General features: G+C 39.6%; 1 protein-coding gene across 11 annotated transcripts in view; it reads right to left on the bottom strand.

The window, feature by feature from the left end:
• PTCD2 (pentatricopeptide repeat domain 2) overlaps positions 1-23,955 on the bottom strand; it is a 48,023-nt gene that overhangs the window by 11,642 nt on the left and 12,426 nt on the right. For 5 of the 11 annotated variants that reach the window (XR_948298.3, XR_241790.6, NM_024754.5 and 2 more), the window contains 5 exons: positions 21,658-21,736; positions 20,869-20,960; positions 18,019-18,132; positions 13,718-13,792; positions 4,000-4,113 (listed from right to left, as the gene is read on the bottom strand). Coding sequence is in view for 8 of the 11 variants with exons in the window: in NM_024754.5 (NP_079030.3) it covers positions 4,000-4,113; positions 13,718-13,792; positions 18,019-18,132; positions 20,869-20,960; positions 21,658-21,736 (474 nt within the window). In the remaining 3 variants the exon portion in view is untranslated. The remainder of the gene's footprint in view (positions 1-3,999; positions 4,114-13,717; positions 13,793-18,018; positions 18,133-20,868; positions 20,961-21,657; positions 21,737-23,955) is intronic. The other 6 variants (NM_001284405.2, NM_001284404.2, NM_001284403.2 and 3 more) reach the window with 2 other exon arrangements.

The following is a 23,955-nucleotide window of genomic DNA, read 5'->3' as shown; positions in this document are numbered from 1 at the left end:
TTCAAGGTGAAAATGACTTAATGTGCAGCATATGGCTTCTAAAAGCAGCAGAGCAAACATGCCAAGCTGGAGGTAATTTTGATCTAAAAACTGTAACAGTTCTGTTACATAACTACAGAAATAAATCAGCAATTATTTTCAATAGTCCTGTGGTGGTATAATAGCACCTATGATAGTTTATAGTCTTATCTCCCTACATAACACTTTTTAAATAACTGCTGGCATAAGCATTAAATGCACTTTGTAAAATGCAGACGTTTACAATATAGGACTCCACTTGCAATCTCACACATATATATTTAGAACTAGCTCAAAAGCTACTGGAGTTATATGAATCAATCCATTTCTCATCAAGCTGTTCCTTGAGTGGTCCCACAGTAACCAGAGGGAAGACACTGAACTAGAGGGTTCATTTTCTAAGTACAAGAGTCTTATATGAGTATTTTTCAATATAAAGTTTGTTCGGGTGCTTTAGCCATATAAATGGGTGACAATGTATTGATGGTTCAGGTCTAAGGAATGGTTGTTAACAACAATGCTGCTGAGAAAATGGAAGTTGGATTTCACATGTACACATACACACGTGACTATGCACTTTAAAATCTGTTCATGCTTCTACTTTCCCTACTTTTCTAAACTTACTCCAAAAGGGTTGGGTGGATCACAGCCTACACAGAGCTAAAACTGCAAATAGAAAGAAGCGTTAAATCAACCATATCCAGTTAGTCATTTTCCTGACAAGCTCCCTTTTATCAGAAGGAAGAAGCCTTTGGGTGGAAGTGAGGAAATGGAACAGGGCTGGGAAGGCGACAGTGTGGCAGGAGGAGGAAGCAGCCACTGCCCTCTAGTGCCAATCCTGCTGTCTCAGCCTTCAGCCTGGACCAAACTATAAAAGAGAGGCAGGAGAAATGAGGGAGGAAGAGAGGACCAACCAACAGGCCACTTGGTTGGTCAAAATGACAATATCAGTATTATTACTAACAATATGATCACTGTCAATAACGTACAATTTCTTTACACTTCTGTTTTTCACCTTAAGTTACATGCTATGAGAGATACACAAATTACTACATCTCAAATGACCTACAAGAATTCCAATTTGTGTACTTAAGCCATCAATGTGACACATGGGTTCATTTGTTTCATTTCACTTTCAATTTTTAGGAACTGTTTTTTCTCTTCATTTTTATTTAACTCTGCTTTACAGTTCTGCAAAGCATTTACATGGTTCCTAAATGAAATACATAAACAAGGTACATTCGGAGAACTCATGTTTCCGTCCCTCACTTTCACTTTCAAAACTTTTATTTCTTAATTTTTTAAAATTAAATTTAAAAAATAATTTGTCAATTACTTTAATTGTCAAATAATAATTGTGTATATTTATAAAGTTCAATGTGATGTTTCAATCTATGTGTATACTGTAGAAAGATTCAGTCAAGCTAACAAAACTATCCATCATCTACCAATGTGTCTTTTTCTGCGGTGAAACATTAAAATATACTTCTTTGGCATTTTTGAAATATGCATAATAATTAACTGTGGTTCCTAAAGACTCAATCAAAAAAACCTTTAGGACTGATAAAGTCAGTAAAGCTGCAGGTTACAAAATTTACATACAAAAACAGCAGTATTTCTATAAAAAAAGATCTGAAAAAGAAATCAACATAACCACTTAAGTTTTGTTTTTTTTATCGTAGTGTTTTTCAAAAACATAAATATATAAAAATAACTATATGGTCCCGCCTTCTTAAGGCATACTACACATACCCATTTGCATCTTACTTTTGTCACTTAAAAACATATTTAAGTGATCCATATAAATGGTAATCCATAGCAGTATATGATGTAGCTGTTCCTCATTTCCTGTCCTTTGTACGAACAGACCCTAATTTGTACAACTAGTTGTCTAGTGATGGAAATTTGGGCTTTTTTCCAGTCTGCTGTTATTAGAAATTGGATTGCAACAAATAGCCTTGTACATACAACTTCTTTATATTTGCCAGTATATTTTTAGAATATACTCCAAGAAGTGGGAGGATTGAGTCAAAGGGTGAAAGTATTTGTAGTGTACCAATCTGTATTCGCTGTAGCAGCATTTCCTCAGATGATAGCGCCCATTTCCTCAGAGCCTCACCAACCAAGTTGGCTGGCAAACTTGCAGATTTCTATTCAAGAGAAATATCATAGGGTAGTTTTATTTAGCATTTTCTTGATATGGGCAAGAGAATCTTTTCGAAAGTTTAAAGGCCATTCACAATTCATTTTTAGTAAATTCTGTCCACATCTCTTACCCATTTTTCTTCAGGGTTGTTGGTTCTTTTCTCAGAATTTTCAAAAAGAGCTTTTTTTTTTTTTTTTTTTTTTTTTTCAGATGGAGTCTCATTCTGTCGCCAGGCTGGAGCGCAGTGGCGCAATCTCGACTCCCTAGTTCAAACGATTCTCGTGCCTCGGCCTCCTGAGTACCTGGGACTACAGGCATGCACCACCACGCCCAGCTAATTTTTATATTTTTAGTAGATACGGGGTTACATTTTGGCCAGGATGGTCTCGATCTCCTGACCTCATGATCCGCCTGCCTCAGCCTCCCAAAGTGCTGGGATTATAGGCATGAGCCACCGCACCTGGCCTCAAAAAGAGCTCTTGAAATATTAGGGCTAGTTAGCCTTTTGTCAGTATGATTAAAAATTGATTACTTACCTCTTGACTTTGCTTGTAGACTTTTTGCCACATGAAAAAACAGGTTTTAACATTTTTATTTAGTCAAATTTATCACTTCTTTTACTGATTTGGATTTTGACTGAAAGCTAAGTTTTTCCACTCCCAGGATATTAAAGAATCTACTAATGTTTATATCTAGTACTTGTGTATTTCAATTTAAAAATTTAAATTCTCATCCATTTGAAATGTATCCTGGTTTGTGGTATAAGAATATATACAACTGTATCTTTTTCTATTGGCTCTCTACTTATCCTAGTACTACTTCTTACTAGTCTATCCACTTAGATTGATTTGAGATGCTTGTCTCTATGTTACACTAAATTTGTATCTGCAATTTGGTCTGTATCCGGACTTTCTATTCTGTCCCATTAGCTGCCCTATTCATGTCCTAAGCCACAGTTTGAATTATAGAAACTTTAACATGCTTTGATATCTGCTAGACCTAGCAACTCTTACTGCCCCTCTTTCACAGGGTTTTTCTAGCTAGTCTTGTTTGTTCTTTCAACTAACCTTTACAGAAAAAACAAAGTGATATTTTTATTGGAGTCATATTACATTATCACAGTAACTTGAAAAAAACTGAGTTTTTATGAGGCTAGGTCTTCTTATCTAAACATATGGTCTGTCTTTTCATTTGTACAGAAGATTCTTTTTATTTTTTAAGATGAGAGATACTATATCCTACTGTTTGCTGACAAGAATGACCCACAGGGAAGGGGATACTGATGATAGCCAAAAGAGTGAGTCAACTTCTGGACTGATGCTGTGGAGTGGGTCAGAGAGGATGGGATCCAGTGCATGACTGAAGAGGCTGGTGTGAGAGATGTATCCAGTCATCATGGGTATATAGGGCAAGGGGCCAGAGGCTCTCTATGTAGCAGTCATGCTTTTCTGATTACTTCTATTTTCTCCAAGAAACAAGAAATACAGTGATCAACTGAGAGTGAAAAGTGAGGAGAAGGTATTGAAGGCTTGAGGGAAAAGGAAAAAGGTGTAAAATCGTCATCTAGAAGAAAAAGAGAGCCAGGGCCCATGAATACAATGTGGAGAAAAGAATAAGGTAAAAGGGAAAAGTTTCCTAGAATTTCAGAGGATATATTCTGTTGGAAGAAAAAAAAATCTTTGCACATATACATGGAAGTCTTAAAACAGGAACAACAGAGAAGCTGCCATATTTGGCAATTTCTTTAAGGTAAGCTTTAGAATTGAGAAATTAGTGGACATTTTTAAGAGTGTCCTTTCACTTTTAAATGATTTCTGCAGCACTTGCATACTCACCACTTCCTCCGAGAACACATGTCTTTTCACAAATTTTGATAAATTTCCTTCTGCAGCATTTTTTAGAGTCTTTATCAGGTTTTCCAACATATTTGACTGGATATGGATTATAATCTGAATATTAAGAAGACACAAGCAAAACCAAGACTGAGTGAGTGTCTCAATGCTGAGAAATGTACCTGGTTAGATAAGCCTTCATTTATAGGCACCTACCCTGCTTTGATCCTACTTCCTAATTTATTTGCTTACACAAGTTCAAAAACGTGCTTTAAATGTACACTTACGAGCCAAAATGTGCTTTCCAATAGTTAATCAAAAACTACAACTTTGCCTGTAATCCCAGCACTTTGGGAGGCCAAGGTGGGCAGATCACGAGGTCAAGAGATAGAGACCATTCTGGCCAACATGGTGAAACCCCATCTCTACTAAAAATACAAAAATTAGCCGAGAGTGGTGACATGAACCTGTAATCCCAGCTACTTGGGAGGCTGAGGCAGGAGAATCACTTGAACCTGAGAGGCGGAGGTTGCAGTGAGACGAGATTGCGGCACTGCACTGCAGCCTGGCAACAGAGCAAGACTCCATCTCAAAAAAATAAAATAAAATACTACAACTTCAAAACTTGTTTACGGGTAACACTGGAGAGGGCAGAGATTTTGGTGTCTGGATACTCGGGCTGAAATCTAGACACTGGCAAGTACCAGCTAAGTGACTCTGGACTGGTACTTAATCTTTCAATTTAAATGCCCTCATTTGTAAAATGGGGAAAATAGATTTAGATCTCACATTTTGGGTTTTATGAACATTAAATAAAATACCAGTATACAGAAGATACTCAATGAACAAAAATACTGGTTTCCTCCTTTCTACATCCTCTAGATTCAGAGGATATGACAATCAATCTCATAAGACTAGTGATATGGTTTGGCTTTGTGTCCCCACCCAAATTTCATCTCGAATGATAATCTCCAGTGTCGGGGGAGGGACATGGTGGGAGGTGATTGGATCATGGGGGCAGTTTCCCCCATGCTGTTCTCATGATAGTCAGTGTGTTCTCATGAAAACTGATGGTTTTATAAGTGGCAGTTGCCCCTGCTCTCTCCCTTTCCTGCTGCCTTGTGAAGAAGACACTTGCTTCTCCTTCGCCTTCCCCCATGACTGTATTTCCTGAGGCCTCCCCAGCCATGTGATACTGTGAGTCAATTAAACTTCTTTCCTTTATAAATTACCCAATCTCTGGCAATTCTTTATAGCAGTGTGAAAATGGATAACAGTAACTGGCTAGGGGCAAATGGTACCTTCAGCGTTTTCTGTTTTTAGGAAGTTGCAGGCACACAGGTTACTGCAGGCACAGAGTGGAAGCTGGCTGGAATGTTAATGAGGCACTCCTATTTACGCTATCTATTAATGAACTTTCAAAACTGGGTACTGTAGTGTGCTTTCGGAATGATACTACCACCTATCTTCCACCAACTTGTGCACAACTATCTTGTGCAACTAACACAAGAAAAAAGAACACATCTCCCCCCAATTACCAATATTTACTAGTATAATTCAAGAAGAAGTTTAAAGAAAGTGAGAATAACTGAGAACTCACCAACCAATGTTACAACCACTGTTTATAATTTGATGTATAAATCTTCCAAATATATTAACTTATCCCCAAAATTTGATTCTACTTTTGGTCAATTACTACACAACAGACATTTATTTCCTCATAGCATTAATATTAGAAAAAAGAAACCTCATTTTTAACACATACATAGCAATTCATCACGGAAATATACCATACTTTATTATACTGAACAATGTGCACATATGTACTTTTAAAAACTGGTAATGTCTTAGACTTGATTCCCAGAAGTAAAATTACCAAGTCAAAGCATAGAGACATTTTTAAGGCTCTTGATCCTTACAAAGATAGTTTTCCTGGAAGAGATTTACCTTTTTTATATTAAACCAGCTATGTTTTCTTACCAGTCTACTTGGCAACATTTTGCATTTGTTGAGTAACTTATCAGGATGAGGGGTTGTCTTTGGTTCGGAAGAACAGAATGAAATGATCCCAGGTAAACTAAATACAAAGAACCCAATTTAAATTCAGTGTTCTAAAGCCCAGGCAAAATCACGAGCACACCCTTTTTGGGAGACAACTTTCCATGCGTCTCTCAAATTTCTGCATGCCTTGAGAGCAAAAGCACTGACTGCTTTTATTCCAGACTATCTTTTCAAGGATGTTTGTGGACAACAAACACAGTGTTGCATCCAAAGCAAAGGACAGGCATGCTTACTGGCCATTATAAGAGATTTGGGTTTCCTAAGCTTAGGGTTCCTCTCTTGAAAGCAACTTCCTATGTGTGCAAGAGGCACATAGAGCTTTTCATGTCTCCCCACAGGAACTGGGGCTCAGGAAACTGATGCAAAGATGCTAATATTCTGGCTACTGCTACATAATAAATTGTCCTTTATTTCTCTGTGTCTTGTATACTCCACTAGCATCCGTGAAACTGGGGCAGGCTAACTCATTAGCTTACAAGTGGGATAAAATCTCTGACTCTTCACAGTTCTTAACACCTTTGTTAATAAAAACCATCCCAGTTTGGTTGATGGTGGTGTCCTCTCAAAGGCAAAGACAAGTCTACCTTGTTCAATGCAGTGCTATGTAGTACAAGGCAACTGGCCAGCCCTCGATAACAATAAACAAGAAGAGGAGCTTGGTTCCCCCAGCAATTTACAAAAATAAACCATCTAGAGCCCTCTGCTAGAAATGATGTGCTCCCTGGGAGATTTCAATATTTATTCCTAAGTTTTCCCAACTTCTCTTCCTCCCTCCAGCAACTATTTCTGAATCAGCAGGGATTTCAAAAATAAGGCTCATTACCTTAAAATACACTGATGAAGGGCAATGCACATAAGGCAGTCACCGATAAAAGGCAAAGAGAAAGTTTAAAGCTAGGGGCTTATCTCAAACCAGTCTCAGGGTTCAGCTAAAGAAAATGAAAGTAGGGTACAGCACATTGCCTTAATCTTACAGATTTCCAACAAAAGACTAGGGAAACTCAGTTGGTAAGGAACAGGGGAAATTTTGGTAAGAAAAACTATTTAAAGAACACATGCTTCCTGCCTCTTTGATTTTCTGAGGCATCAGGAAATACGTTACTAGATACCTTTGAACAAAAAAGGGAACAGAAGCCCTGAGGATGCAGAAATTTACATTTCTTGTTTCTTTTATTTTTGTTTTAGGTTTGCTATATTTGAAGTAGGATATCATAGTGTGGTAGAGGCTGCCAGTTTTCTAACCAATATCCATTCTCTCCTCCTTTTTCGATAACAGAACTCCCTAACCTTAATAGACACTTTCATGTATGTACGAAACTCAAAGACCATTTCTCAGTATTCTTTGCAATTAGGTATGGTCATGGGATTAAGTTCTGGCCAATAACACCATCAGTACAAGTTGTTAGATGAGACATTTGAGAAAGCGTCTTTAAAAGGGATGAACTTCTTTGTCCACTCCCATTTTTCCTACTTCTTGCTGGACCAGGGATATAATGAATGGAAGTCACGTGTTAAAGATGGTAGAGTAGAAACATAGAAAGAGGCTGGGTTCCTGATGACATCATGGAATGCCACACAAGGCGTGGACTGACCAGACTCGTTTTCTACATGGAAGAAAAATAAATGCTCTAATTTGTACAGGTTTTATTTTTATTTTTGGAGTCTACATTGCTCCCAAACAAATGCAATTCTTAACTCACACATATGAGTAAGATGCTGCCACGAAGGAATTTGTGAGAAATGAGTCCTGTCTCCTTTCCTCCCTGTGCATCCTAGACTTCCCAGCATATGCTAGAACTTTAGGGTGACCTAAGTGGGTAGGAGAAAGGGGCATTAACACATTCACCTGTATTAACAAATGAATGATAAAAGCAGCAAAACCACTTGTCAATTCCCTTGCAAGGTAAATTCAATTCCAAAATGGATCTCCAATTGGAGACATGCCAGTTTTATACATAAATGATTAGAATTCAAATACGATCAGTGGAAAGTTACCCTGCACTGGTCTCTGCTATTTTCAGACATATTTGGAAGTGGAAATTAATTCTTTGATGTGAAGCAGCATTGCTAAAGAGGGTCTATGTTTGAGATTGAGAAGTTTAAATTCAGACTGAAAAGGCAGAGTCAACATACATGTGTTTTGATGAGATCTGTTAAATCATTGCAGTATGTATCACGTATTAGCTGGGAAAATAGGAAACTGGGCCCTCTGGGTCACACTGGCAACAGGAGCAATTTAATAAAACAATCAAGTCAGGGAGAAAATTTGTTAAGTTCAAATTTCAGTTGACAGTAGCAAAAGATTTTAGCATAAAGCATTAATTTTTAAAGTATATCAGAAAAAAGTTTCATTGATTTCTGTGAATACTGACTAAACAGACACTACTCAGCCTATCTGTCAGTTTCCATCTCTCAATAATTAATAAGCTGCCTTTAAGGATTTCAAGTAGATGAGTCAGCCTTGGAGAAGCTAAGGTCCATGCAGTCATTTTTTAAAATGTGCTCTACTAACAGAGACCTAGAATCTAAAAGATTACTAAACTTGAGAATGGCAACCATATCTTTTTCATCATCCCCGAGGAAGATGACATAGGCTTATATTGCAACATGAGAAATTTGGGTTGAACATTTGAAAGAATTTCCTGAGAATTTTTAAACACTGAAACTATCTTTAAGTTTCCCGACAGTGGGTAATTCTGTGACGCAGTTCAGAGAGGATGATTCATACTCAGTATCACTTCAAAGTTACTTATGGAGTCCTTGCCTGAAACACGCCCATTCCACTGCATCCATAGGCTGACTTTCCTTTCTAGCCCTCAGAGGAAAGGAGCTGTTCCTGCTGCCTGGTGGGCAAGCACACACTTTTTTCATCATGCCCTGCATTGCTCCTCTTATTGGGAATGGACAGCCTCATGCTCAGCAGGCTCATGTTTAGCTCCACCAAAGCACCTTCTCATTTGGGGGAAAAAAAAAAAATCAAATCATTACTAGATTATTTTTGTTGTTGTTGGAGGCAGAGTCTCGCTCTGTTGCCCAGGCTGGAGTGCAATGGTGTGATCTCCACTCACAGCAGCCTCCGCCTCCCAGGTTCAAGCAATCCTCCTGCCTTAGCCTCCCAAGTAAGCCAGGATTACAGGCACACACCACCACGTTCAGCTAATTTTTGTATTTTCAGTAGAGATGGGGTTTCACCATGTTGTCCAGGCTGGTCTTGAACTCCTGACTTCAAATAATCCACCCACCTCAGCCTTCCAAAGTGCTGAGATTACAGGCATGAGCCACCGCACCCAGCCCATTACCAGATTCTTGTAACTGTGAGAGATAGGCCACGATGGAAGGAGATGAGAAATCTAAATCCAGAGGTGGCTTACATGCACTAGTGGGATCATGGTTTTTGACATCCAGTCTTGTGTTCTTTTTATTATTCAAGAGGAGCCACTAATCCCAGTCCTGGATAAAAGAGACGCACCTTTTTCATCTCTGTAGGTCTGGAGTGGCGGGGAAACCCTAGGCTTCGCAGTCAGACAGAGTTGTTGGTGTTAAAACCCTGACTCTGCTATTTATTTAGTTGGGAGAACTAAGGTAATTTACTTACCCTTGAATCTTCATTTTCCACATCTATAATGTGGAGAAAAATTGTTTTGATAGAGTTGTATAACAAATCTAAAGTACCAAGCATGACACCTTAGATAAATTAAAACCTGCTTACCTCACTGTTTGATTTCTTATCACCAATTCTTACTGAAACCCTCAACCTTGCTTCAATTCTAGGAAAAGTGATCAATGATCCAAGTAAAACACTTCTCCCCCTTTTCTCCTTTCTTTCCTTCCTGATGTTATCAGAGACTTGGATAGCTTTAGCTTTAGTGGAAGAGTATCTTGCTAATCCCAGCAGTTCTATTCTGTCCCATCATGATAGATGGGACATCTGAAGGCCATTCTCTCTCTCAGAAGCAATTATATACTGGAATACCAGAGCTGTCCATATCCAGTAGGAAGCAGATAAGTCAGAGACATAGTATGCCTGCTGGAAGACCAGGCTTCCCAGTCTGTTTAGCTTACTGGTATCACTTGCTCAAATGACCTGACCTTCTGGACTCTGGACCTTTGCCAACCTTGGCCTCCCAGACCTGCTTTAGCGTGTGAGCTTTTCAGGCTGACCCACCTGCTCAGACCTGTAGTTTCTGCTTCAGCCCCCAAGATGAACAGGAGCTACCTGCAGCAGGCTAAGACAGGGAGGGCTCTCAGCCGCTTGGATTTCTACACAGCTGCAAGTCCTTCCCTCTCTTTTCTGGTGCTTCCTCTGCCTCACCATTAATGCCTTATAAACTCATTTCTGAGCCCTCATACTTCCCTGCTTTCTTATGGCATTCATCAGTTCATATCAAATCCATTACCAGGTGTATATAGTTGAGTTCATGCCCTCCAAGTTTATGCCCTTTGAAACTAAAATGTCTCTGTCGATATTTTTCTAGTATTTTGTTTCTTCCATTACAAACCCATTTCATTTTTTCAAGTTCTCTGTTATCACTCTCTCCATCTTTCTGGTTCCTTGGGCTCACCTTTCTCTCATGTAAAAGCATTTTGAAAAGTAAAGTTGAGGTCCAATATGAGGAATTCTTATTGCACACTTCTTGCCTGACCTTGTTCTCCAAAATTTACCATAAATACTCATCTAGTCATTCTCTGAAAAGTCACCTGGGCACTGGTGTGGGATGACATTTGAGGATAACTACTATGGGCAGAACTGAAAAGCATTATTATCTTTAAGTATGACTCTTTCAGAAGTTTGGAGTTATGCATAATTCCTATTCACTAGGTTCTAGGATTCAGTACAAATGAATATTCCTTTTAATTTAACTCATGTCAAAAAAATACTATTAGTATTAGCAAATATTCATTGAACAGACTACCTGCCAGGCACTATGCTAACTATTTTATATGCATAATTTATTTTAATCCCCACAACAAAAAGATAGCAACTATTTGTTGCAGGAAGTCAGGAACCCCAAATGGAGGGACTGGCTGAAGCCATGGCAGAAGAAAATAAATTGTGAAGATTTCATGGACATTTATTAGTTCCCCAAATTAATACGTTTATAATTTCTTATGCCTGTCTTTACTGTCTTTACTCTGAACATAAATTGTTAAGATTTCATGGACACTTATCACTTCCCCAATCAATACCCTTGTGATTTCCTATGCCTGTCTTTAATCTCTTAATCCCGTCATCTTCTTAAACTGAGGAGGATGTATGTCGCCTCAGGACCCTGTGATGATTGCATTAACTGCACAAATTGTTTGTAGAGCATGTGTGTTTGAACAATATGAAATGTGGGCACCTTGAAAAAAGAACAGGATAACAGCAATGTTTAGGGAACAAGAGAGATAACCTTGAACTCTTACTGCTGGTGAGCTGGGCGGAACACAGCCATATTTCTCTTCTTTCAAAAGGAAATTGGAGAAATATCACTGAATTCTTTTTCTCAGCAAGGAACATCCCTGAGAAAGAGAATGCATCCCTGAGGGTAGGCCTCTGAAATGGCCACTTCAGGGGGCAGCCTTCTTTTATGGTCGAAGCTGTAGGGATGAAATAAGCCCCAGTCTCCCGTAGCGCTCCCAGGCTTATTAGGACAAGGAAATTCCCACCTAATAAATTTTGGTCAGACCGGTTGTCTGCTCTCAAACCCTGTCTCCTGATAAGATGTTATCAATGACAATGCATGCCCGAAACTTCATTAGCAATTTTAATTTCGCCCTGGTCCTGTGGTCCTGTGATCTCGCCCTGCCTCCATTTACCTTGTGATATTCTACTACCTTGTGAAGCACGTGATCTCTGTGACCCACACCCTATTCATACACTCCCTCCCCTTTTGAAATCACTAATAAAAACTTACTGGTTTTATGGCTCACGGGGCATCACGGAACCTGCCGACATGTGATGTCTCCCCCGGACACCCAGCTTTAAAATTTCTCTCTTTTGTACTCTGTCCCTTTATTTCTCAGACTGGCCGACACTTAGGGAAAATAGAAAAGAACCTACGTGACTATTGGGGGCAGGTTCCCCCAATAACTATTACTGTTTCAGATCAAAGGAAATTGGGGGGTTTCCAGGGGCAAATTAACCTAAGGACTCAGAGCTAGTAAGAGGTGGTTACAATTCACAGTTCATATTCTTTTTTTTGAGATGGAGTCTTGCTCTGTCGCCAAGGCTGGAGTGTAGTGGCGCAATTTTGGCTCACTGCAACCTCTGCCTCCCAGATTCAAGCAATTCCCCTGCCTCAGCCTCCCGAGTAGCTGGGACCTACAGGCAAGTGCCACCATGCCTGGCTAATTTTTTGTATTTTGGTAGAGATGGGGTTTCGCCATGTTGGCCAAGATGATCTCGATCTCCTGACCTCATGATCCACCTGCCTTGGCTTCCCAAAGTGCTGGGATTACAGGTGTGAGCCACCGTGCCCAGCCACAGTTCATATTCTTTTAAATAGATGCTCCACCAAAACCAATATCCCAACAAATAACACCCTCCACCTCATTCCCTCCAACCCCACAGTCCTGTCCTCCTCTAGAGCACTGCTCAGTAGGTTCCCGCCCTAAGGGCCCCTCACGTTGCTCCTGCCGGCCAACCCGACCCCCTTCATCTACTCATCTTGGAATACTCCATTGATTGTGACTTGTTTTCCTAGTTTGTGTCATGCTAATGCTTACACATTTCCATTTTTCTGAAAATGTTTTCTTCATCTCAACCCTCTGACTGTTTCAGGAGACTATAAGCTCCTGAAAGTTTTTTTCTTTTGCAACTCCCCCCACACAAGTAGACACAGTATACAAGGAGTCTCAATATGGGCAGGCTGAATGGGGGCTATGGTGTCCTTAATAACAAGACAGTCTTTTATAATTGGTCCAGGAAGGTTTTGTGACACACTGCTCAAACTCTGGGAGTAGTAATATGCCTCAAACTTTATTATTAGCGTGAATCTGGTGAATCTGAGATAATTTTTTTTCCTATGCTTTTAGTTTTAGGGATTAAGGTTTTGCATGTCTTGGTGATATGTGTGCAGCCACTTGCTGACCCAGACCACAAGGTCCCAAATAAGTGACCCAGGTGGCCCAGGTAAGTTAATGGGGAAGAGGACCATGGGCATACTGGCAACATAATAAGAATGACAATAGATAACATTTACTGAATGCTTACCACATGTCAGGCACTATTTTGTGTACCATAAGTATATAAGCTCATTAATTGCAACAATGCCATGAGTTAGGTACTACCAATAAGACGCAGTTGGCACATGGGTTTCTCTCAAGGCTTGGTAAAGGGCCTGGAGGATCTGTCTCCATCCCCTCCTCCTCCCTACATCTACAGCTTTCTTAGCCACGTCTCATGTCTTCAGCATCTAGCCATGTCTTATATATGAGCATATCTACCTCTCTCCAACCTGTTTACAAACTCCTGGAAGCGACAGCTGTGTTGACTCTTCTTACAAGGGTGATACTGTAATTTTCAGAGAGGAATTCAATAAATGACTATTGATTTGAATGAAAACCTTGGGAGAGCAAGTCATTGTATACAGCTAAAAAATTTAGGTATAATTTTATTATAATACATTTATTATAATACATTTCAAGGCTTACCTTAAACCATAAAGAAATCACTTACATTTAAATTAATGCAGGCTATGCTTTCTGGATTCATGATTTGAGAAAAAATGGACACAGCTTTTGCCATCTCATTCTAGAAGGAAGAGAAACAAATCATATTCCATATCATAGGAACTAATGTTATTGTAAAAGATCACTTAGAGAGGGCAGTATATTCCTATTAAGGTGACCTCAGGGTTTTGAAGTCCACAAAGATAAAATGTTTCGGAAATCAAAACTAAACATTCCATAAAATTCTCCATCCAGTCGCATATTGTTGAATGTTTTAACAACCTGCCTGAGTCCAGTTTTTAAGATGCAGGCATAAAGTTGGTATTTCCCCTTCTCCTATTGGAATCAGCTTCTAAAAAAATAGGAATGAAGAACAAAGTGCAAAGCCTGTCTTTGACATACATAATTAGAACATAGAAACCTCAAGCCACAGCACAGCTGGAAACACTGCCAGAAACATTGGAAATGGAGGCTGGCAGGGTTCAGGAGAAAGCAGTCAGAGGCAGACAGTGCTCTATATCTCACAAAGAATCTACAACAGTACAGCTCTCAAAGGTAAGGGCACAACCTGAAGTACAAAACCTAAATTCCTATTTACAATGATGAGAACAGAGCGCAGGACTAGTAAAGAGAACTTCCGTGGATCCTGTGGTGGCAGAGATGAGGCTAGTCAAGCGTTTCCATAGGCAAGACATACTCATAGGAAACAGTATGTTCCTAAGACAGCAGCAGCAGAGAAGAGACTGCGTACCAAAAACCACCTCAGTGCCTACTTCTGTTGACTTAAAAGAAATGAGGCCTGTGCATACTTGTAGACAAAACTCTGGGTTATATGAAGAAAAATCCTGCTAGTCTAGAACAGTGCTCTGGTGTCCCGCTCTGTTGTTCTCTCTTTCTCTGACATGAATCTACAAATGACCGGTCTAAAAGAAACACGTTTTTCTTTTATTTTTGAATTTTTATTTTTATTTATTTATTTTATTTTATTATTATTTTTTTTAGACGGAGTCTCGCTCTGTTGCCCAGGCTGGAGTGCAGTGGCATAATCTCAGCTCACTGCAAGCTCAGCCTCCCAGGTTCACGCCATTCTCCTGCCTCAGCCTCCAGAGTAGCTGGGACTACAGGAGCCCGCCACCATGCCTGGATAATTTTTTTTTGTATTTTCAGTAGAGACAGGGTTTTACCGTGTTAGTCAGGATGGTCTCGATCTCCTGACCTCATGATCTGCCCGCCTCAGCCTCCCAAAGTGCTGGGATTACAGGTGTTAGCCACTGCACCTGGCCAGAATTTTTATTTTTTAGAGACAGAGTCTTGCTCTGTCACCCAGGCTGGAGGGTAGTGGTGGAATCATGGCTCACTGCAGCCTCAAACTCCTGGGCACAAGCTATTTTCCTGCCTCAGTCTCCTGAGCAGCAAGGACTACAGGCATGTACTAGGTACTACTGCACCTGTTTTATTTATTTATTTATTTTTTGTAGAGACAGGGTCTCCCTATGTTGTCTTGGCTGGTCTCAAACTCCTGGCCTCAAGTGATCCTCCCCCCTTCCAAAGTGCTGGGATTACACGCAGGAGCCACAGTGTTAGGCCTGAAACTTACACTTTTCAATGATGAATAGTCAAAAAAGAACCACCACATGACACTCATAAAGATGATATTTTTAAAAAGAGGAAAGGAACACAGTAGAACAAAATTAAGAAAATAACTGGTACAGTGGCTCACGCCTGTAATCCCGGCACTTTGGGAGGCTGTGGCGGGCAGATCACTTGAGGTCAGGAGTTCAAGACCAGCCTGGCCAATATGGTGAAACCCTGTCTCTACTAAAATACAAAAAGCAGCTGGGCATGGCCAACATGGTGAAACCCTGTCTCTACTAAAATACAAAAATTTAGCTGGGCACACGCCTACTAAAATACAAAAATTTGGCTGGGCGCATGCCTGTAATTCCAGCTACTCAGGAAGCTGAGGCAGGAGAATCACTTTAACCCAGGAGGCGGAGGTTGCAGTGAGCCGAAATCGTGCCACTCCATTCCAGCTTGGGAGACAGAGTGAGACTCTGTCTCAAAAAAAAAAAAACAGAAAAGAAAAGAAAATAACTGGCCGATGAAGAAACCCTAATTGAAAAATATTTCCATGGATATAGAAGATAGAAATGAGAAAAATGAACAACATCACGTCAATCAAGTGGAAAAAAATCAGGCAGGCGTTAGATTTCTCCACATTCCATACTAGATTTCTCCAATATTCCATACTAGAAGACAGAAAAGCAATGCCTAAAAGTACCTCAAGAAAAGAAAATGTCACCTTGAAATTGTAAATCTGGCCAAACTGTAGTTCAAGTACAAAAACAACAGGCAAATAAAATAATTTAAAATACCAAGAACTCAGGGGATATCATTCCTCCAAAGAATTTACTAAAATACTCACTTCAGCCAACAAAGACAAAACTGGAAAAACAACTAGCACCAAACAACCTATTTAACTATACAAAGGACTCAAAAGTTGGGAGTATGGCTATAGTACAGAGTGTAAATGTTATATGCCTGGACAATGAAGCAATGTTAATACTAATGAAAGAAAGAGAAGGGAAAGAGATGAAAGGTAGAAAAGGCATTCCCATTTCCTTATCTTTATTATCAGCAGGCCAAAAAATATCACTTCAAACTGACAAATCAAGTACATTTAAGAGTAAAGTGAACACTATCAAAATAAAATACCAGCTAAAATTGGGTATTGGATGGGGGAGGAAGAAAATAAGATGAAAAACAGAGGAAATATAGTAATTTCACCATTACTTATATTAGGGAATTAACAGGTCTTGTCAAAAGAATTAAATAATTAAGAAAATCAAAACTATGGTTTTAAAGTCACCACTAGAGCAAAAATACCAACTAGAGAAAATAACCACATGGCATAAGAGAGTAGAAAAAGTTATAGAAACAGAAAGCATCAAACGAGACCCAAGATCAAATATATGTCACATTAATACAAATGGATTATATTAAAAGATTAGCATCATATTATAAAGCAACACAGAAATTTATGCAGTATATAAGAGACAAAGCTAAAACAAAACAATTCAGAAAGATTGCAAAAATAAAGCATAGGAAAAGCTGTATATTGGTCAAATGCAAACCTGATCAAAACAAAGAGAAAAACAAGCAAAAAGAGGGGTGGAGATACTAATATTAGATAAGGTTGAACTCAGGGCAAAAGCAGTAAACATGACCTAGATAGGCACTTTATAATGCTAAAGTGAGGGATTCACAATGACGATGTAACAGTGATGATGTATCTGTGCACCAAACAGTGTAACTTAGACATAAATAAAGAAAAACTACAGGAGCTATACAAAGAAAGAAAAACACATGCCTTCAAAGACACTTTAATTCACCTCACTCACCTCATGACTGACTAAGAAGACAAAATAATTCCCCTGCACAGCAAGAGAAGCTTAGAAAGTTAAAGAAATGATCTTGGCCCAGCAGAAGGCTGGGAAGTGTATAACCTCTTGGCTTGTCCTTCAATGACTCCCCCCAGCAGTATATGGAAATGCATCACCCTCACGTTTTGATTTCTAATTAATAATAAGAGTTCTCCAGCTATATTTTACCAGCCAGGAAAATAACCTGGCTTGGTTACTATTTTTCTGCTGTAAAATTTCCTTTTACTACATAGGAAACATGTAAAGCATTTCATATTTTTTAGGCTCTGGAATAGGAAATCTCAGGAGAGGCTCTTCCAGAGAGATGGTGTTCCAGGGTTTCAGCTCTAACTCTGTCCATCACTGAGGCATGACCTCAGGGAGGTCCCCTCTTATGTCTGGGTCTCTGCTACCTCCACCTGTCCAGTCAGGGGAATGAGGCTAAATGATCACTAAGGTCTCACCCAAATAACAGTAGTAGTTGGATGTAACTATGAAATATGTGATGGATCCCATTTCTACAATGGGCTGACACAGCAGTCCTCATTCATCTGAGGCTAATTCAACTTTGGAGAGCATTAAATTAAACTGTTCTCTGAGAACATTACAACGTAATCTGATGACTTGCAATTTTCATTTTAATTACTTGAGAAATTTCTCTACCCTTCTATTTAGAAATGCATGTTAGGTCCCCAACTGTAAATAAAATCATTCTTTGTGGGTATAGGTATAGATATAGGTTGCCATGGCAACAAAGGCATTGGTCTCTTTATGGTGACTACTTCTTTACGATGCAGTCAGAAGGAAAAAAGGAAAAGCAAGGACGAATAAAAGTAATGAAGTCCTGGCCACTCCCAATTTACTTATGTACACCACAAGGCTTTACCTGATTCAGAGCTAATGCCACAGCGAAACAGGATGCTCTCCTGGAGAGAATTTCTCCTTTGAGTAGAGCTTCTTCTCTTAATGTAGTACAGATTTTGAAAGACTCAGGGCTATTCTGTGAGGAGACAGGATTGTTCGATTAATGTTATAAACCTTTAAGTTCAATAAAATGATTAATAGTGCTCAGTATTTATAGTTCCTTTTGTAAGGATTTCCTAGAGCCTCCCTCAAGCCACTTAAAAGATTAAGCCCCATATAAAGACTATTTGCAAATACACCAGGCTACTGATAGGCTAGCAGGTCAAATCTAAATTAACTTTATTTTTAAAGCTCATTTTCAATTTTCTGAATTGGGGCAGTTTTAACCAGAAAACATACACATGTCTTTGTATCTGGGCAGGCTAGTTTCTAGACAAAGACCCCATAATTTATGAGTATAAAGGTTCTGCCTGCTACTATATGAAATAGCTGATTAAGGCTCAACAACACCAGGAAACTTTTTCTGGGGGATTTCCAATCTGAAAATATTCATATGTCAAATATTTGAAAACACGAACACTAATTTGAACATAAATTATAAAAGAATCCCATGAAAACAGAAACCTTTAAAAAAAAATCCAAGAATGTCAGTGATATAAAAACAGCAGTGGTAAAACCAAATCCTCTTCCTTTGTGCATGCTGCAGGGGATTAGGTTTATGACAGCAGCCTGGCTGTGCAACTTTGTCATCTGTCATAACGGGAGTTGCAACTCCTGTCAAAATAGAGTTCAAATGGGATGAGAGAGGACAGTTCCCAGAATTGATGTGGAATTTGTACTGGCTGACCAGATCACTTTTTCAACTCATCTCCACTGGGTGAAACAAGTTATTCTTGGACATGACACAGGGGAGAAAAGTCCTCTGGCCTTTCCTAAATAGAATTTATTTATTTATTTTATTTTTTGAGACAGAGTCTCGCTCTGTTGCCCAGGCTGGAATGCAATGGTGCGATTTCAGCTCACCGCAACGTCTGCCTCCCCAGTTCAAACGATTCTCCTGCCTCAGCCTCCAAAGTAGCTGGGATTACAGGTATCTGCCACCACTGGATAATTTTTGTATTTTTAGTAGAGACAGGGTTTCACCATGTTGGCCAGGCTGGTCTCGAACTCCTGACCTCAGGTGATCTGCCTGCCTCGGCCTCCCAAAGTGCTGGGATTACAGGTGTGAGCCACTGTGCATGGCCTCTAAGTAGAATTGAAATTCTCGTCATTGCAGTATACACTCAGGGAGGCATCCCTAAGTAGAGGACAAGAAGGCTGGGAATTTCAATGCTGAATAAGTGATGCTCTAGTGCTGTGTGGTGTTTTTTTTTTGGCCTCCTAGAATCATAGAATGGTATGAATGGAAAGAATTATTGAATCCAGAGGTCAGCAAACTATGACCCTTGGGCTAAATGTAGCCTACAGCTAAGAATGACTTTAACATTTTTAAAGGCCTGTAAAAACAAAAACAAAGAATATGGGGCAGAGATCACATGAGGCAGAGACATATGTGGCCCCCAAAGCCTAAAATATTTACTATCTAGCTTTTCATAAAAAAAGTTTGCTGACTCCCAAATCTAACCATCTCATTTGTAAAATGAGATAGGTGATCAGTTCACAGCTATATAAGTCATATATATAAGCTATATAATACCAAAGTTGAGACTAGACTCCAAGTTTCTCAATTTCCACTTGGTTTTCTTTCCACTATAACCCAGCTATCCCCTTGTTTTGGAAAACTGGTATTGCTACATTCTTCAGGGGAGTTTTTCAACAGCCCATGTTCTTCTACTTCGCTTCATGTTCCTTTGTTTTCAGTATAAAGAGGTTTTGTGTGCCAGGTTTCCAAAGTTTAAGTGATACGAATGACAACAGTAATACATTAAACATTGATCATTTCACTATTTCAATGATCATTCACTAAACATTGAAGAAAGAGTTTCTATGGGCAAGAAATAATCCTGGTACAGTAATAATAAAATAACTTTTTTTTTTTTTTTTTTTTGAGACAGAGTCTCACTCTGTCACCCAGGCTGGAGTGCAGTGGCACAACCTTGGCTCACTGCAACCTCTGCCTCCTGGGTTCAAGCAATTCTCCTGCCTCAGCCTCCAGAGTAGCTGGGATTACAAGGTGCATGCCACCACGCCTGGCTAATTTTTTGTATTGATAAAAGAACGTATAAGTCATGGTCTCTGTCCTTGGACTTCATTTTCATGTCACATACGTTTATTAAAGAACTACTGGATACCAGGCACTGTGTTAGGTGGTGGGATACAAAGAAACCTCAAGGAGCTCACACTCAAGTGGAGAGAATGGAACGTGCATCTGCTAAGTACATTAAGCTGTGTCAGAAGTACCAGGGAGGTGACACAAATAGAGCAAAATTAAGGGATATCTGGAGGTGACAAACATCACTTCCAGTTTCGGTGATTGCAAAAGCCTTCACATATGAGGACAAAGTAGTCCTTGAGCTCACCAATGAAGGAAGCTAAGATTTCCATAGACAAGGACAACAGGGAAGATGGATCTAGCAGAGTCCAGCATGCGTGATGACTTTAAAGCAGAGCCTGAACCCAACACATTGCCTCTTGTTCTCACTATCTACACAATCACCAGAGAAGAGTGAAAGATGAAAAAATTACTTTTCCCATAAAACTGCCTGATATGGCTAACTTGAGTTTTCTAAAAATAAAAACATTTAAAATTAAAACATTTGCACCAGATGGAAAACAGATTTCAGAGGAACTGAATTTTATTTGTAGAGAGAAGAAAAATCCTCTCTCAAAGACTACACACAATGCTCTCAAAGTTAAGAGGAAAGAGTCTTACCAGTTTGTAGCAAATTGCAAAAGCAAGAACATAGGTATCTTTGGTGAACTTCACATCTTGGTTTTTCATCTCTATCAATACTTGCAAAGCACCTGCCAAAAGTGAAGAGTGGATCGCAGTGTTAGAGTTCCTCTACTGTTGGCCCCCAAAGCTCTCATCTGTTCAGCACCATCTACAGAAAAGTGTATTTCAACAAAATAAAAGCTATTCCTCAAAGTCATTTAGCAATTAACTAAATGTTGAAATAAACTATCAAGTCAAACAGGAAGAACTAATGTTTTAAAAGCTGCTTCACAATTTTAGCATAAGTAAAATCTGGGATATTTAGTTTAAGGGATGACATGCAATGCAATGTTTTCAAACTTCCTAAGGTCTCCAGAATTCAGCCACTTATCAGGGATATAAGAATCATTTTTTTTTTTTTTTTTTTGAGACGGAGTCTCGCTCTGTCGCCCAGGCCGGACTGCGGACTGCAGTGGCGCAATCTCGGCTCACTGCAAGCTCCGCTTCCCGGGTTCACGCCATTCTCCTGCCTCAGCCTCCCGAGTAGCTGGGACTACAGGCGCCCGCCACCGCGCCCGGCTAATTTTTTGTATTTTTAGTAGAGACGGGGTTTCACCTTGTTAGCCAGGATGGTCTCGATCTCCTGACCTCATGATCCACCCGCCTCAGCCTCCCAAAGTGCTGGGATTACAGAAGAATCATTTTTGCATGACTCATTTTTCCCCCTAGTTCCTATGCCAGCAAACATGGCAGAATTTTTCAGCAAATAGAAATTGCAGTACTTACTTTTATATTTGCCTTTGATAAATAACATATCCATCAAAATATTGAATGATGTGGAGTCTGAGAAGAAACCTCGTAAATGCTAACGAAGAAGAACAATACAGTTTGGTTAAAAGTTAAAACTATTTATTGAGGAGGTACTTTTACTGTCTCTTATCTAGCCAGGTCTTATTATTCTGCATGCTTTACTCATTTGGCCTTCTGAATTCTCTAATATATTTTATATACCCAGGTTTTATTTTTGAAAAGTTGGCCGGGCGTGGTGGCTCACGCCTATAATCTCAGCACTTTGGGAGCCCAAGGCAGGTGGATCACGAGGTCAGAAGTTCAAGACCAGCCTGGCCAACATGGTGAAACCCCGTCTCTACTAAAAATACAAAAATTAGCTGGGCATGGTGGTGGGCACCTGTAATCCCAGCTACTCAGGAGGCTGAGGCAGAGAATTGCTTGAACCCAGGAGGTGGAGGCTGCAGTAAGCCGAGATCACGCCACTGCACTCCAGCCTGGGTGACAGGGCGAGACTCCGTCTCAAAAAGAAAAAAAAAAAAAGAAAAAAGTTAAAATGCTGTCCACTCTCTTGGCTGTCATGCTGAGAGGTATAGCAAGAGATCTCTGGGTTTCATAATTACCATGAAGGACGTCTTTAAGGAACCGTCATTTGTCATGCTTAGGAGAAAAGAAACTAGCCAGTTAACCCTGGCAGAGTGGTCCTGGAAACTAGGTGCCAGCTATTAACATGAAATGGCAGCTATAAATATACTTGAGGACTAAGGCAGGAGGGTCTCACACAACTATGGTCTTTTTTTGGCAACGGATAATACAGAATTGATTATTCGCCTTTTGAAATAATTCTCCAAAACAGTGGTTCTCAACATTTTTTTCCAACTTGTCTGTATGTATTTATTTAATTGACAAATAAAAATTGTATATATTTGGCCAGGTGTGGTGGCTCACGCCTGTAATCCCAGTACTTTGGGAGGGAGAGGCGGGATCACTTGAGGCCAAGAGTTCAGGACCAGCCTGGGCAATACAGCAAGATCCCATCTCTTAAAAAAAATAATAAAAATTTAAAAAATTAGCTGGGTGTGGTGGCACAAGGCTGGAATCCTAGCTACTTGGGAGACTGAGGTAGGACGATCACTTGAACCCAAGAGTTATGAGACTGCAATGAGCTATGATAATAGTGCCACTGTATTCCCGCTTAGGTGACGGAGCAAGACCCTGTATCCAAAAAAAACCCCAAAAAACAGTATGTTGTTTTGAAATATGTATATATTACAGAATGGCTAAGCCAAGCTAATTAACATATGCATTACTTCACATACTCATTTTGTGTGGTGAAAGTACATAAAACCTATTCTTTAGGCAATTTTGAAGAATACAATACATTGTCATTAACTATAGTCACTATGTTGTACAGAGAAATCCCTTGAACTTATTCCATCTTACTGAAATTTTGTATCCTTTGACCAACATCTTGCTAACATCTCAACATTTTGTGTGCCATGATAATGGGACACATGGTATTCAAATGTGTCATTAAATGCCTTGCTCAAGTTCACTCTTTTCCGATCACCTACTATGCAGACCCTGTTCTAGGTGCTGAGAATAAAGAAATGATAAACAGGATATACACCCTGCTCAAAACCCTACTAGGGTTTATAATCTAGTAGAGCTTAAATTCTGGTGGAGAAGACAGTGAATAAGACAAGTGAAAAAAAATATTAATTTCAGCTATTAGTAAAGTCTATGAAGAGCAAGTAGAGAAGATGGATGGAAGGTAGTCAGGGAAGGCACTGTGAGAAGAGACCTCAGTGAGGTCAAGGAGGGAGCCTCAAGGATAAGAATGCAGAATGTTCCAGTTAGAGGCTGTGAGCTCGCCATGGCTGAGGAAGAACATGCAGGTCCAGAGTGAAGTCAGCAAGGGAGAAAGGGGAGATGGCACAATGGGCCCCCTAGGTCAGAGTCAAGGGTCTGGGTTTTCTTCTAAGTGTGAGGGAAAGCCACCAGAGCAGCCCCAGCCAATGGAAAAGCATTTTGAGTCACCAAGGATATTTTAGAATCACAATGTATGTGACTCTAAATTTTCAATTAGCCTCATTTAAAAAAGTAAACAGAAATAGACTAAATTATTTAACCCACTATATCCAAGATGTAATTTCAACATGTAATCAATATAAAAATTAACATACATTGCATTCTTTTTATAACAAGTAATTAAAATCCATCATATATTTTATACTTACAGCACATGTAAATTTGAGTTAGCCACAGTTCAATGACTCCATGTGGCTACCATGC

This window comes from Homo sapiens, chromosome 5 (genome assembly GCF_000001405.40).
Source record: "Homo sapiens chromosome 5, GRCh38.p14 Primary Assembly".
In the NCBI taxonomy this organism is placed as follows: domain Eukaryota; kingdom Metazoa; phylum Chordata; class Mammalia; order Primates; family Hominidae; genus Homo; species Homo sapiens.
The sequence above is the reverse complement of the archived record's forward strand: the minus strand, read 5'-3'. Positions and strand labels throughout refer to the sequence as shown.